Below are 16,576 nucleotides of genomic sequence, written 5' to 3'. Positions count from 1 at the left end.
GAGAGGCAAGGAAGGGTTCTTTCTTGGGCCTTCAGAGGGAGCACGGTCCTGCTGACACCTTGATTTCTGATGCATAGCCTCTAGAACTGTGGCAGAATAAATGTCTGTTGTTTTAAGCTACTGAGCTTGTGATAGAATAGTCCCCTCTTACCCAAGGTTTTGCTTTCTGAGGGTTCAGTTCTGTAGTCAACTTGGAAAATTCCAGGAATAAACACTTCAAAAGTTTTAAATTGCACACCATTCTGAGGAGCATGATGAAATCTTGTGCTGTCCTGCCCCGGACATGGAACATCCCTTTGTCATTGACGTCGTCTGCTCCTGACATTCAACCGTGGACATCATCATGGCTTGAGGATCCAGAATCAACTGAGGCAGATGATCCTCCCTTCCGACATCATCAGAAACTCAGGAGTGGCCCGATGCTATGTCACAATGCCTGGATCATTCACCTCCATTCACATCATGTAGGCATTGCATCATCTCCCATCATCACAAGAAGAGGGGTGAGTGTAGTACAGTAAGATACTGAGAGAGATAAAGAAAGACCATATTCACATAGCTTTTGTTACAGTATATTGTTATAATTATTCTATTTGAATACTATTGTTAATCTCTTACTGTGCCTAATTTATAAATTAAACTTTATCATAGTTATGTATGTATAGGATAAAACTGTGTCTTTGGGTTCAGTACTATCTCCGTCTGTGGTTTCAGGCATCTGCTGGGGGTTTTGGAATGCATTTCCCCATGGATAAGAGAGAATACTGTACTTCATTACAGTAGTAGCCCTAAAAAGCTAATACAGTTACGTGACAATATTACTTCTCTTGATCACTGAGGATATTGGTGCCCCCTTAAGTTTTGCGCCTGAGTGCCTTGCTCTCCTCACCCTAATGCTAGTCCTGCCCTGTAATTTCTCCATTGTAACCACCCAGTGAGGAACACACAGAGGAAAATTTTCTCTAGGCTCTTTGATATGATACACATGACATATGAATGGTGTACAAAATTTAGAAAATATGTAATAGATTGGGAAAAATTAAAAAGACAGTGTGAATCAGAGGACTAGTAGGCCTGAGAGTTAACCTAAAGGAATAATCCTAAATATGAAGGGAAATTTTATCCCACAAAAGCATTAACTGTTGAGTTAGAAGAGTAAAATCTAGAAGCAACTGAAAGTCACACCACAGAGGAAGGTTAAGTAAACGATGACATAGCTTCTCAATGGGCTATTATGCAGTCATTAAAAATGAAGTTTATAAAAATATGTTATAGCTTGTAAAATGTTTTAGCTGTAGAGCTAATTAAAATTAATTAGAAAAGTGTTTATACAGTATGACTACTACCATGTTAAAAAAAAAACTGCAAACATAACAATATCTGGCCTCACCAGAAACAGGAAAAACAATAGTGTCTGTTGGTGATAGTGATATGGGAGAATTATTTATGCCTAAATTCCTATATTAATTATTTTTTATGAGCACACATATTTGTTTTCTATTGCTCTGTAGTAAATTACCACAGCTTAGCAGGTTAAAACAATGTCTATTTATTATCTTGCAGTTTTGTGGGGCAGACATCTGGGCATGGTCCAACCAGATTCTCTGTGTAGGGTCTCACAAGTCTGAAATCAACGTGTTGGCCAAGCTGTGTTCTCATGTGAAGCTCATGGTCCTCTTCCAATCCCTTTTGAGTTGCTGATGAAATTTACTTCTTTATGGTTGTAGGACTGAGGTCTGTCCCTATGTTCTTGCTGTTTGCCAACTGAGGCTGACACTCAACTCCTGGAGGCCGCCCTCAGGGTCTGGCCTTGTGGACTCCTCATAGCATGGTGACTTCCTTCTCCAAAGCCAGTAGGAGATTCTCTCTCCAGTCAGCTATGACAGAGTCTTATATAAAATAACCCCATCAAGGGAGTAACTATGCTAGCCACGCTCAAGGGGAGGGGATTCTACAAGACATATATAATGGGGTGGGAACGTGGGAGTGATCTTAGAATTCAGCTACTAGAATAAAGAAAGGAAATATGTTGCTTCTAGAATAAAGAAAGAAATCGGGGCCTCAGAGCCACAGGGTCGAACCCGTCGTTGTAGCACTGTTCTGGGCTGGGTGACTGGCTGGCTCACCTGGGGTGAGTTCCATGGGGAGAAGGATGCTCTAGGGAGATGCTGCTGCTGCTGTCTCTCCAAACCAGCTCAGTCTGAAGGTATTTTTCCTTCCTCCCTGCACAGGCATCCATGTGCTGTGTGTGTGAGACAGAATCGACATGTTCACTCCACTCCTGCTGGGGATTATAAGCATTCCTTGAAGGAATAGAAAGAAAACTAACATTGACAGACATTTTGGTATTTGGCAGGCCCTAGAGTGAATGCCTGATATAGTCTGCATGTTCTGTCCCCTCCAAATCTCATGCTAAAATGTGATTCCTGGTGTTGAATGTGGGGCCAGTGGGAGGTGTTTCGGTCATGGGCCATGATTGGAAGCTTCCTGAGGCCTCACCAGCAGCAGATGCCAGCACCATGCTTCCTGTAAAGCCTGCCGAACTGTGAGCCAATTAAACCTCTTTTCTTGGCCAGGCACAGTGGCTCACACCTGTAATCCCAGCACTTTGGGAGGCCAAGGCAGATGAATCACTTCAGCCCAAGATGGATCACTTGAGCCTGGCTAGCAAAAATTAGCCAAGTATGGTGGTGCACACCTGTAGTCCCAGCTAACTCAGAAGGCTGAGGTGGGAGAATCACTTGAGCCCAGGAGGCAGAGGCTGCAGTGAGCTGAGATTGCACCACTGCATTCTACCTTGGAAAACAGAGCTAGACCCTATCTTAAAAAACAAACAAACAAACAAACAAAACTGTTTTCTTTATAAATTACCCAGCCTCAGGTATTTCGTTATAGCAACAAAAGAGTAGACCAACACCATGCTTTATGTAAGTTGTCATTGTTTAAAAATTTATTTTTATTTTTATTTTTATTTTTAGGGACAGAGTCTCACTCTGTCGCCCAGGCTGGAGTGCAGTGGCACAATCTCAGCTCAGATTGCAACCTCTGCCTCCCAGGTTCAAGCGATTCTCCCACCTCAGCCTCCTGAGTAGCTGGGACTACAGGTGTGCACCATCACGCCCAGCTAATTTTTTAATTTTTAATAGAGACAAGGTTTCGCCATGTTGGCCAGGCTGGTCTTGAACTCCTGGCCTCAAGCAATCCACCTGTCTTGGCCTCCGAAAGTGCTGGGATTACAGGCGTGAGCCACCACACCTGGCCGTAGTTGTCATTTTTAGTCCTCACAATAGCCTTAAGAGAGGAAAAGGAAGACTCAGAAAGATTAAGAAGCTCTCCTCAGGTTGCACAGCCACTTAGTTTCAACAGCAAGCGTTTGAGCCTGGAGCTTTCGACTCCATGAGCAATATTACTTTCATTGTTTCAACAGTCATTCATTTCACAGAGTTGTTGAATTCCTCTGTGCAGGCACTATGAGGAATGCCAGCATCATGACAGTGAAGGGGCAGGTCCTGGCCTCTCCCTTGGTGGAGCCACAAGTTCTGTAAGGAGAACAGACATTCAACAAATAGTGCACAAACATTCAAATCGTGGTAAGGGCCTCTGGGGCAGCTGGTGCTATGGGAGTTGGAAGATTGGACTTGACCCAGTCTGAACTAAGATCTGAATGGCTTCTGGGGAGCACAAAGGGCAATAGACTATGAGTTGGCTGTGCAAAGATAGTGAGGCAAAGGGTGTGCCAGGGAGAGAGCAGGTGCAGGGCCTGGCTGGAGGAAGCACCACAGCACAACACAGGTGCTTGCAGAAGGCCCAGTGGGCCCGAGTCAAGGGCGCAGGGGGGAGGACGTGTATACAGGGCCTTGGTGGCTGTGCAAAGGGCTTTGGACTTTCTCCTAATTGCTGTGGGAAGACTGTTACGCTACGCAGAGGCTCAAATAGGCAGGTAAGACGATGTCTTTCTGTGCTGCATATTTTTATTCATGTATTTAACATAATTGATCTCAACCAAGCCTATTTGAATCACCTGGAGAGTTAAAAAGCTAAAACCAATATCCTGCCATAGACCAATTAATTAAGAATGTGGAGGGATGCCGTTGGAATCAGCATTGATTTAACACTTCCCAGATGATTTTCCTGTACAGCCAATTTTGCTAATTACTGACTTAATTGTCACTAAAGTTCTGCCTGGGGCCCCTCTGTGCCGGGGACTAGCACAGTATTAGGAAACACAGACCTTGCCCTCAAGGAGCTTGGCTTTCTTGGGCATGTTCAAGCTTCCTCTGTTCATTGGCTCCTTTGGTCATTAATTCACACCTGCTGGGCTCCCAGCCTATGTCCTACCTGATCCTTGGGGACAGTGCCCCTACCTGGCACTCATAGGCACCGTTCCTTCCAAGCCTGTGTTTAGTAATAAATGACAATCAATCAGAGGTGAAGAAGGACCGGCATGCAGAGGTGGAGGCCGGCATGCAGAATGAAAGGGATACACAGAAACGCTAACTCAGCCCAGCGTCAGGGACAGGGCATGGCCATGTCCAGATCTGTGGCAACCACAGAGTGACAGAGAGTCGGAGCTGTCAGCTCAGGAGGTCAGCGACCAAAGGTATCACTAAGGGCCTCAAGGAGGAGGTTCTTTCTCCAACCCTTTTCTATGGACACAGAGGCCTAGTGATGTGAGCTTTCCTTCCCCAGAGCCTAAATAGCCTAAAGGCCCAGCAGAGAGAACTCCCAGGACCCACTCATTGCCTACTGGTGCTGGGTCTTCCTTCTTCTTCTTTTTTTTTTTTTTTGTTTTTTTGAGATGGAGTCTTGCTCTTGTTGCCCAGGCTGGAGTGCAGTGGCACGATCTTGGCTCACTGCAGCCCCTGCCTCCCAGGTTCAAGCAATTCTCCCACCTCAGCCTCCTGAGTAGCTGGGAGTACAGGTGCCCCCCACCATACCCAGCTAATTGTTGTATTTTTAGTAGAGACAGGGTTTCACCACATTGGCCAGGCTGGTCTCGAACTCCTGGCCTCAGATGATCCACCCGCCTCTGCCTCCCAAAGTGCTGGGATTACAGGCATGAGCCACCAAGCCCAGCCCTGGGCCTTCCTTCTTGTCTCACCTCCAGCCCACCTGTCTTGCTCTGACATGGAGGGGCAGAACATGGCAATCTGTGTGTGGCAAAACACAACACAACAAAAACAGCCATAAAAGACACTCTTGGGACATTTAGGGAAAACTGAATATGGACTGGATACTAGAGGGTGTTGTGGATTGCTTGCAATTTTCTTAGATGTGGTGTATTATGGTTCTGTGAGAGGTTGACCTTTATTCATAGGAGATGTATGCAGGAAAATTTAGGCGTGATGCATCCTGGGGTCTTCACCTTAATTTCAAACGGTTTGGCAAAAAATATTTTTATAAACATATGCATGTATAGATATACACAGAGAGACAGAGAGGGGAAAGCACATATGGGAAAATATTAACAACTGTTGAAATCAAAAGCGCACCAGTGCTCAGTTTACTATTTTAATGTCTTCTGTATGTTTAAATATTTTCATAATAAAATATTGAGAGGGACATTACACTTTAAAATGCAAAAAAAAAAAAAAAAAAAAGGCCAGGCACTGTGGCTCAAGCCTGTAATCCCAGCACTTTGGGAGGCTGAAGCGGGTGGATCACGAGGTCAGGAGATCAAGACCATCCTGGCTAACACGGTGAAACCCCGTATCTACTAAAAATACAAAAAAATTACCTGGGCATGGTGGCGGGCACCTGTAGTCCCAGCTACTCGGGAGGCTGAGGCAGGAGAATGGCATGAACCTGGGAGGCAGAGCTTGCAGTGAGCCAAGGTGGCGCCACTGCACTCCAGCCTGGGCAACAGAGCAAGACTCCTTCTCAAAAATAAATAAATAAATAAATAAATAAATAAATAAATAAATAAATAAAATAAAATGCAAAAAAAAAAATCAGTCATATCTGAGTTCAAATACTGGCTCTACCTCTTCTTAGCAGAGTGGACTTGAACTCCCTACTTTACCCTTCTGGGCTTTTGCTTCTTCATCTCACCATCAGGGACAGCAACACCTGCTCAAGAGGGCAGTTAGGATTGTCGGAGATGACAAATGTAAAGCACTCAGCACGGGATGGGCCCAAGCCAGGTGCTACACAGGGCCCAACCTGGCCAGAGAGATTCAGACACATCCAGAGAGCTGCACCGTATGGCACCCTTCTCTGAAGAATCCATTGGTCATTAAGACTGCAATGAGGTCTCCTTGATATCATCCACCTTCAGGGTTCAGGCCTATTCAGATGTGAAAGATGGGGGGAGGGGAAAGGGGTCTGAAAGATGCAATGATGAAGGGCTGGGTGGCGGCCCCCACGGCAGGCAGAATCTGTAAAGTGTCCACTCCCTACCCCCAGTATCTCATCCTAACCCCTGAAGCCTGTGAATACGATGAGACCACACACCTGTGATTGTGTTATATGGCAACATTGATCTTAACGAGTACCCAGATGGGCCTGATCTAATCACACGAGCCTTAAAGCCAGAGCTTTCTCCAGTTGCTGGTGGAAGAGGAAGGCAGAGAAAGTGAAAGCACGAGGGGAATTCGACCCGCTGTTGCTTGCTTGAGGATGGAGGCGCCCCATGAAGGCAAGGCTGTTGGCATTGAGGAACTGACAGCAGCCCCTGCTGACAGCCATCAAGGAAACAGGGACCTCAGTCCCACAGCCCCAAGGAACTAAGTCCTGCCACCCACTCGAGTGAGTGGAAGTAGATCCGTCCTCAGAGCCTCCAGACAAGAGCCCAACCCGGTGGATACCGTGACTTCAGTGAGTGAGACTCAGCGGAGAACCCAGTTGAGCCCACCTGCACCACTGAGCCACAGGACTGTGAGCTGATTGATGTTGTGAGACTGTGGGGCCAAACGGAACCTCATGTGACACCTAGTGTAGGCCAGTCCTGTGCTATTTGCTCAGGATAACAGCCGCTAAGTTTGTGGTACTCTGCTATGTAGTAATCGCGAAGTTATATCCCCCTTAATTAATCCTAAATGAAGAAGGATCTGGCTGCATTTGGAACAGAGGAGTGGGCAGTGGTGTTGAACTTGCTGCCCTGACCCAGCCACTGGATTTAAGAATTAACTTATCAAACTCTGTGATGTTTTGGGAGTCCCAGCAACCTGCCCCCAACAGGTGAGCGTGTTTGTTCTCACTCCATCAGGGGTTGCTCTTCTGTCACCAGCCAGGGAGGAAGAACCAGTAGGATCTGAACCTCAGGGGACAAAGCAGCCTTGAAAGCAGCAATCGATGGTGGCACCATCAGCACAGCTCCAGCTCAGCCACTTCCATAGCAATGACGTCAAGGGTGGGCCGAGGAGCCTCATGGCAGAGGTGACAGCAGAGTCACCAACTATCCAATAACAGCTGTGCCACCCAACGATGACTTGGACTGGTTGGAGGGCATTGAAAACACCTCTTGGAGGATCCCTCAATTCTCCTGGTGGGAGGGGAGACTTTTGCAATGGACCAGAATAACTGGTAATGTGACCAGGGGACAATTATTAACATTAGTGTGACTTTACTTGAACCCCGGGTTGGTGAGGACTGAACATATCCAGGCTATAGAAATGCCCAATTCTATTTGTTCATTTAACAAGTGCTTATGGTATCAGACACTGCTGGGTGACAACAGGAAAATATACAGGCTCTGCCTTGATGGGCTTACCATATAGATGGGGAGAGAGAAGACCGGCATGAGTGGGTGCCACAGAAAGAAACAGTGCAAAGCAGGGGTCATGCTTCCCCAGAGCTTTTGTCTGCTCTTGACTCTTTCCAGGTTATTTGCCAGGAATCTCTCCATGGGGCAAGAGATGAGAGGTGGGGAGTGTTTCTTTGCCTTGTCCCCTCCCTCCTGCTTCCCAGTAGGTACAGCCCTCCTTGTGTCCCACCAACAGCACCTCTCTCTGCAGAGGCTGCGAGACAGGCCAAGCCCATGATGATACCACCCAGAGCCAGGAGGCCCACCCTGGGTTCAGAGAGAATTGTCAAAATAAAACTAGAAATACACATTTCCTTTGGGAATGGTGGGGTAAGATAGGCGATCAGGGTTCAAGAGCCACTGGGTATCCACACATGGGGATGTGATGAATCGAATCTCTGCTGATTTGGAGAACCTAGTTGGGAAGGGAGGGCATAAAGGGAGGAACGGGCTGGTGGTCCCATGAGCCTGGGACTTGCAGGTGATACCATGTTGGAAGAAGAACCTCAAAGGAAACAGGGATGGGCAGTGACTCTGCTATAGTTTTCCCAGCTGGAGAAAACTCAGCCCTCTGAGAACCAGCTAAACATAAAACCATTTGCCTTAGTGATGCAGGTTAAAAATAGTGGTAATTGCCAGCTCCCCCGAGTGTGGCCAATTATTACCATTATTATAATTGGACTAGAAATTAACCCGTTGTGTATGAAACCCACATGTATCCAATCTTGTTTCAGGCCAGCTGGTTTGTGAAACTCAAGTGTTAGCACGGTTGGTGTGTTCCTGGAAGAACTCAGGCAGGGGTGGGGGCTAGGGGAACAGTGCCAGCTGCAGCCCTTTCTTTCTTCTGCCGCAGGAGTTGTGAAACCCAAAGCAATGAGAAGTTGTGCCACAAGGCTGACTGGCTTTGCCCTTCCCAGTAAAGTGGCCTCCAGACTGGCCATCCAGACCTGTTTGCCTGCTCTCAGAGGGGCAGGGTCCTGTGGCTGTGAGGGTGCAGCCTATGTGTTCTGCAGGGTCTTCAGACCCCAGACAATGCAGAGGTCTGAGGGCATTGGTGAATCCCAAACTGATCTAAATTTCGACGCTCACATAGGAGGTTTCCCCATTTTGGAAAACCAGATGTCATGGGAAGAAATTGCCCTGCACAATGTGGTAAAGGGGACAGAGGGGTTAGTGTTTTGCAACGCTAAGGCAAGAATGGACTAGGATGAGATAAGCAAGGTGCCTGGGATGCAAAATGTAAGGAGGCACTCAAGCTCAGCTTTACGCAAGGGCAGGGCCAGCAGTTGCAGGAAACTGAGTGTGAGCCCCTCCTTACATTTTGTGCCCTAGCCAAAGTCCTGCCCTAGGGATGCCTGCCTGTGGTCCTCATTGAGAGAAGAGATGCCTGTGATGGGGAAAGCCCTAGAAGGGGACTTGGGAGGATAGAGGCTCTTGAAGCAGACTTCATTTTTCTCTCTTCCTTAGTAACAGATGCCCAAATTAATTTAGAAGGGGTGAGCATGAACTCAGTTTAATAAAAGCACCTACAGGATGATTTCCCAGACACTCACCCAGCCTGGTGTGGCCATGTGTGAAAGAGAAGCAGAGTGTGTACTGTGTGGGCAGGGAAGGCTGCTTAGAAGGAGCTGACTAATCTGAGAGAAGCCTCCTTGTTTTGCCATTTTGACTTTTCTCCTCCTTCTAGCCTGGAATTTGGAAGCTTGAAGGGCATCTTGGACCATTAGGTGACCTTGAAAATTGAAGCCACATACTGGGAAGACAGAATAGAAAGATAGAAGCCAGACACAGCAGAGCTGTTAATGATGCTGTCATTGACTTCATAATAGCATATAACAGAGGTCTTTATAGATAAAGAATTGTAACTCAGAGATAAATTAACCAGCTCAGTTCTTCCTCCTAAGATAGGGCAGAATGGGAACTAAGACCCAGGACTATCTGATTCCAAAGTGTGCTCTTAGCTACGACCTAGTACTGCTGTGCAGGAGCCTCTTGGGACACAGCTGAAAGTCACCTCCTTTTCTGACTCTGCTGAAAGGGTTTTTATCAAGACCCCCTGAGCAGCTTGTGCTCCCTGAACCTGAAGCCTGATCAATGACTCTACAGTCCCCTTGCCTCCATGGGCTGGGCCTAAGAAGATCAGGCTCCCTCTTGGGGCCTTCAAGCTCTGTTTCCAGCTCACCACCTGCACAGTGCCGGTCCTGCCTGCCCAGCAGGGAGGGAAACACCTGCTAGGTTTTTTTGTCCCCAACCTCCACATGCTCAACTAGATTAGGTTCCCATGAAATATGTATGCTTTCTCCTAAGGCCTTGGAAAGTCTGCATCTGTCCAGATCAGCTGGCCTGATTGGCAAGCCAGGCTGAGGAGAGCCACCGTCTTATTCCACTGCTTTGCCCTTTATCAAGGGGGAAGGGAGAGGAATCCTGGCTGCAGCATCTTTGGGATTCAAGGGCAGCTCAGGACTAGAAAGGCTGTCCAAGGACAGGTTCTGAAGGTGGCAGCATGGAAACTGGATTATTCTCAAGAAAACTTTCAGCCAGGAAATAGACAGGGCTTATCTCATACAATTTGAGGCCCTCAGTCATATCCCACATCCCCTAAACTTCTTGCTGCTTCTCTGCTTGCAGAGTCTCAGGACACTGGTGACTCATTGGTTTTGTTTTGAAGACTTTTGAGATTTTTCAGCAGGCTTCTGAAATTGGGTTCTGGTTTGGGTTTAAATTTTGAATTGTAACTCATCAAAGGGTTCAAGCTTGCCTGACCAGGTGGAAGGCTGATGGGGGAAGAGGACACGCGAGGTACCTGCCGCAGGGGCTGTTTATGTGGAAAATAAGGGGCTGGGGTGGGGAGAGAGCTTGTGTTAATGGAAGAGAAAGTTGAAGTGCATCAGTTTGTTTCAAAGAGTGGGGAAGAGTGGGGAAGGGGATAAAGGTGAGGTAGGTCGTGGTGCATGCCCTCTGTCAGGGAAGGCAGCCACAGTAAATGGTGTGGTGCAAACAATGCAAACTATGTGCCTGCATTCTTACTGGGACCTCAGGCTGTACCACCTCAGCCTCCTGTTTCCAGGGGGTGTGTTTGACTGTGCAGTGATGGGTGATGGTGCTAGGCCTCTGGGCACCTGCAGTGCAGGCTGCAGTGGGCACCAGCAACCATGTCAGTGCTCAGTGACACCTGCTCCAGTGGGGCTCAGCTGGGTCTGAGCAGTGCAACCACCACCTCTGCCACTGGCCCTATGTGACAGTGAATTTCATGTGTCAACTTGGCTGGGCCACAGAGTACCCAGATAGTTGGTCAAACATGATTCTGGGTGTGTCTGTGAGAGTGTTTTTGGGTGAGATGAACATTTGAATCAGTAGACTGGGTAAAGCAGATTGCTCTCCCTGATATGGGTGGGCCTTGTACAATCAGTTCAAGGCCTGAATATAACAAAAGGCTGACCTTCCCCCAAGTAAGAGAGGTTTTTTTGCCTGACTGCCTTTGAACTTAGACATCAGCTGTTCCTGGTTCTATAGAATATTCCAGTCTTTGGACATAGGCTATGTAGATTTTATATTTGTCAACCTCCGTAATCTTGTGACTCAATTCCTTATAACAAATCTCTTTTATATATGTACTTATGTATCAATATGTGCATCTGTGTATGTGTATCTACCAGTGTTTCTCTGGAGAACACCTGATCAATTCACACTCTCAAGAGGCATCACCATAGTGAGGCAGGACATCAGCAGGACTAGTTTTCACAACCCTGTTCATCAAAATAGGATGTAGCAAAGAAGCAGGCCCAAACCAACTAGGGCTAGAAATTAAAATATATTTGCATAAGACACTCCCACCAGCACCATGACAGTTTACAAATGCCATGGCAATGCCTGAAAGTTACTGTATATGGTTCTGAGAACTCCTGGCCCCATTTCCAGAAAGTTCATGAGTAATCCTCCCCTTATTTAGCATATAATTAAGAGTGGGTATAAATATAGCCAGCCCTCAATCCATGAGTGCCACTCTGCCTAAGGGACAGCTCTGCTCTGTCTATGGAGCAGCCTTTTTGCTGCACACTGTTGTCCTAGTCAACTTGCTTTCCTTCGCTGTCAGCTTACTCTCGCTTCCTTCCTAAGTGAAGCCAAGAACCTCCCCAAGCTGAGCCCCAATTTTAGGTTTGCTCCATCAGTGGTACCATAGTGACCAAATTAAAGGGAAAATGGCAACTGTTATAGGGTAGCCTAAAGGGATGTTTCAAGAACACATCTGGAACTTTCCAGAAATACCTGACAGAAATCTTTAGGGGGAGTGACTTATTTCCTTAGAGTCAGTGAGAACATAGGCGAAGAGGGCCTGTGATTGGCTGGATAATGGCTCCCAAGGATGTCCATATCCTAATGCCCAGAACCTGTGACTATGTTATCCTGCATGGCAAAGGGAACTTTGCAGATATGCTGAGCTTAAGGATCTTGAGTTGAGGAGATTGTCCTGGATGGTCTGGGTGGACCTAATGTAGCCACAGGGTCCTTATAGGAGCGAGGCAGGAGAATCAGAAGGAGAGGGTGTGAGATGTGATGATGGGAGCAGAGGCTGCAGTGAGGCACTTGGAAGATGGAAGAAGGGGCTGTGAGCCAAGGAGAGCAGTTGCTCTCAGAATCTAGAAAAGGCATGGGAGGCTAACAGAAGCCCTCTGCGGGAAGCACATTACTTTCCTCTGGAAAGAGCAGGGCATCAAGACATCAGCCTGAGCAGCAAAGGAGTCTCTCTACATAATCTGTTGGGAGACACTGAGGAAGGTCCTGTGCCACCCCTCCCTGCCAGTTGCACTGACTGATGCCCTGATGATGTGGAACTACTGAACTGACCTTGGAACTACTTTTTCCTAAATTACACTTTAAAAAATGTTCTTACGGGCGAAGTCACTGTTTTGGAGGGTTTTCTGATGTGGCAGGCAAATGCATCCTAATGGACCAAAATTTCGGCTGGATTTCCCCTGACCACCTCAAAATGTCATATGTAAGGACCAGGGGGCTGGGCACGTTTTAGAGACACTTAAGATTTCACAATTATTTCACCTGCATGTAAGGCGGACCCATCCCATGGATAGTAGGGAATGGTGTAGGGACCCGTCTCTCTGTGCTAGGATTTGGTTTGCTGTGAGCATGCCACTAGACAGGTTTGCTTACCTGATCTGGATGCTTTGACGTACAGTAAAGACCCAAGAGAGTTTTCACCACGAAGAAACAGTGGGAGAGAGTTCTGCTAAGCAAATAGACAGTAATTAGGGGTGTAATTATTGCCAGAGAGTGAGGCAAAGGGCTGTCTCCTCGCTCACCACCCATCTTGTAGTTTTTCTAAGTTTGGCTCGGTTTCCCAAATCATCTGAATTGCACATTCTGTCTTTGTGTTTTCTTGAACTATTTTTAGGTCCTTTGATTCAGCTTTGTTGGCAGCTGCTCTTCCCCCAAATACTTGAAGAACTTCCAGTTCCACAGTCGGATGAGGCAAAGACTCGGTGGCTGGGAAGCCGCCCTCTTCCCCCTGCAGCATCCCTGATTTACGGGGATGCAGGACCTTAGGCTCAACAGGGCGCCTGCTGGCCCATAGTTGGCATTCTCCATGCACCCTCCAACAGAGGCTTTCCCACTTGATGTCAGAGCCCAGGTCGCCCTTTGTGAATGCAACGCTCACCAACATTTTGAGGTGGCCCTTTTAGACTTCTAGTCTTCCCTTCAGAAACATGCGATATTTCTTCTAAGGTTCTCTCTGTAGGTGTGGGCAAGGGCAAGCCTTCTGATGGACTCCACAGAAAACACATGGCTTTTAAACTCAGCTGAGCTTTCAATACTACTTCAGGATCTTTTACCCATTCCTGGGGTATTCCTTCTCTGAATTCTCACATTGGTTGGTGACTGCTTGGGCTCAAATCACAGCTTTGCCACTCACCACCTACGTCACTGTAATCGCACTGTGCCTCAGTTTTCTCTTCTGTGGAATGGGTATGATAATGATAGCATTGATCTCCTGGTGGTGTTGTGAGGATTCAATGAGTATGTATGCACAGTGCCTGACAAAGAACACACACCCTGGGGGTATTAGCTGCTGTTTGTTCCAAACCTTGGTGGCACTTCTCAAATTCCCACCCTTAGCCCTGACCCTGCATTCTCAGGCCACAATGTTGATATCTTCATTATTGAGAAAATGGAGACCTCTGGTAGAGATGATCCCACTTCTCTTTGACTTCACACATTTGTGTTTCATGAATTCTTAGCCCCTTCTTTCCTGTCTCAGAGGACAAACAGTCCCTCCTGCTTGCCAGCGCTTCCACTTGAGGGCGTATACCCTGCTCTTCTCATTTCTTAATTCTCATCTCCAGGGTGTCCCTGTCCTGTGTGGCTCCTTCTCTTCACAGTTGTACTTCATTATTGCAAAGGAAGTGCTGAGTAGAACACATTCCTGGTAGAAAAAAAGCACAAATACAGTCAAGAGCCACATAACAACATTTTGGTCAGGAGAGACCAAAATGTATGATAGTGGACTCATAAGATGAGAGTATCATATTTGTGCTGTACCTTTTCTATGTTTTGATATGTTTAGATACATAAATACCATTGTGACACAATTGCCTACAATAATCAGTGCAATAACCTGCTATACAGATCTAGATCTGTAGCCTAGGAGCAATAGGATACCATATAGCCTAGGTGTGTACCAGGCTATGCCACCTAGGTTTGTGTGAGTACACTCTATGATGTTCACACAATAAAATTGTCTAATGATGCATTTCTCAGAATGGAATGTATGCCCATAGTTAAGCAACTTGTGACTGTAAATGAAAATTAGAAATCACTCGGAATCCCAATCTCTCCAATTGGCCACCTCTCCAATCTCCTTTTTCCACCCATACAAAGTGATCTTTCTATTTGTCAGTTTCACTACACCATTCCTCTGCTTCAAAACTTCCCATGAGTTCCCCTTCCTACAAAATGAAACGGATCTTCCTCAGCCTGGCAATGGGGCTCTCTGGCCCCCACACTGAGTGCCTTCCCATCCTTCTCCCCTTCCAGGAGGTCTTTCTGACCTCCGACTTTTGCTCCTGCTCTTTTCCCTAGCTGGCAAATTCTACTTGAAATTCAAGCTCCAGATGAAATGTTGTCTGTTTGGCAAAACCTCCTTCCAACTATCTGCAGCCAGCAGCAATGATTGCTTCCTATGTTCTCTGTGGCATTGTGCAAATCTCTAATAAGGCACTTATCACATCCTAACACCTGTGTAGCGTCGTATTTACATGATTCTCTAGACTCATGGAATTTGGTGGTTGTTGGGTGATTTCCTCTCACACAGCACTCCTTGGAATAGCTGAAATAAGGGCGCGAGTTCTCCCCCAGTGTTTGAATAGTCATTTAACTTACATTTGGAACTGGCATCTCGTAAACAGCCCTCAATCCTAACTTGGAACTGAAACAGGGCAGTTTTGGGAGCTTATGTTGGGTGATCATCTGTTAGGGACCCCTTTTCTGGTCTTTCCAGGAGGCTCCGGTGACTCGTCCATGCCAGGTTTCCTGCTGTGTTTGCCTCCCCGAGTTATTCATGTTCTGCCACTCACTTAACTTAAGATCAGTAGTCCTGCAGCTTCAGCAATTCGCATCACTCGGAGGTAGGGGGATTAAGAGGGAGAAGGAGGACAAGGATGTATTAAAATGCAGATGACTGGGTCCCCACCAGAGTTGTGGATACCCAGGAGGTCTGGGGTGGGGGCCCAGACCCAAGATTGTGCATTTCTTATGAGACCCCAGGAGATGCTGCAGCAGCTGGTCTGGGGAACACACTTTGAGAACCCTAGCCCTCAGAAAATGGTCAAGCTTGGGCCTGGCTTTCCAGAACTGCTGTTCTCTTACGTTTTCTCTCTATCTCTATGGCAATGGCCATGGTTTTTCCTTTGTTCATTAGCTTCACGACTGCCGAAACTCATTCCTTTTAAGCCTGTTTGTTCCTCCTTCCTGGTCCTCTTTCCTAACCTGCCTGGTTTGAGCACCCAAAGGACAAGGACTATGCCAATGTGGCTTGTCATCCTTAGTGTCAACAATGACTGGCAGTCACTAGGAGCTTGAATACTGTGAGAATAATGGAGCTGGATGTCTGGTTCTGGTCCTGCTATTGAACAGGTTCTTTTAGCAGTGAGTTAAATAATCTCTGCTCAATTTTTATTATGGGCAAATGAAAGAAATGGTGCTTGACAGCAGATATGGGTTAGAGAATTGAGTACAAAAAGTCTTTTAGGAGGAAGGTTAATTCATAACCAGTCTTCACAAGCTGGAGGCAGTGGCTGAGAGAGAACACACACAGTGGATGTGGTGGGGCAACCGGGAGCACGGGGGTCCTGTAGAGCCGATTCTAGGGTAGGAGATGTCCGAGTTTTTATTTTTTATTTTGATTGAAGAATCTTTAATTGATACATAATATTTGAATACTTTCATACTTGCACATTGTGTTTTGTACAATATATTGTATTTGTACAATGTGTATTGTATTTGTATATTTGTATATTGAGGTGCGTGTGATATTTGGGTACATGCATAGAATGTGTGGTGATCAAGCCGGGGTGTTTAGGATATCCATTCAGTGGTGGCCCAAGTTTTGTTCTGTAACATTCTTCACAGGAATACAGCTATTGCAGCATCTGTGAGAAAAATCCCCACAGAGAATCTCCGTTTGGGGAAAATAAAAAGAAAATGTGAGTCCCGTGCAGCTGCTCTGGCCTAGCATGTCACAGGATACTAATATAAAGGCTGGCTATAAAAAAAGTGATAATGTCTATTTTTTTATTAAAAAATTAATTCACAATTTAGAAT

General features: G+C 46.5%; 1 long non-coding RNA gene across 1 annotated transcript in view, besides 2 other annotated features; it reads left to right on the top strand.

Annotated features, from left to right (window-relative positions):
- Positions 27-1,226: an enhancer, noted in NCBI's record as "MED14-independent group 3 enhancer chr2:134742538-134743737 (GRCh37/hg19 assembly coordinates)". NCBI's record gives its function as "activates an origin of replication core promoter dependent on BRD2, BRD4, P300/CBP and CDK7 cofactors, and independent of MED14, by STARR-seq in HCT116 cells {active_cell/tissue: HCT116}" and the evidence as "EXISTENCE:reporter gene assay evidence [ECO:0000049][PMID:35650434]".
- Positions 33-16,576, top strand: part of LOC105373627 (uncharacterized) — a 65,027-nt gene continuing 48,483 nt past the window's right edge. Inside the window, exon 1 of the long non-coding RNA XR_001739714.2 lies at positions 33-503. This is a non-coding gene — a long non-coding RNA (uncharacterized LOC105373627). The remainder of the gene's footprint in view (positions 504-16,576) is intronic.
- Positions 10,284-10,433: an enhancer, noted in NCBI's record as "active region_16542". NCBI's record gives its function as "activates an Ori minimal core promoter by ATAC-STARR-seq in GM12878 lymphoblastoid cells {active_cell/tissue: GM12878}" and the evidence as "EXISTENCE:reporter gene assay evidence [ECO:0000049][PMID:35858748]".

The sequence above is a fragment of the Homo sapiens genome, chromosome 2 (genome assembly GCF_000001405.40).
Source record: "Homo sapiens chromosome 2, GRCh38.p14 Primary Assembly".
NCBI classification, from domain to species: Eukaryota; Metazoa; Chordata; class Mammalia; order Primates; family Hominidae; genus Homo; species Homo sapiens.
The sequence above is the reverse complement of the archived record's forward strand: the minus strand, read 5'-3'. Positions and strand labels throughout refer to the sequence as shown.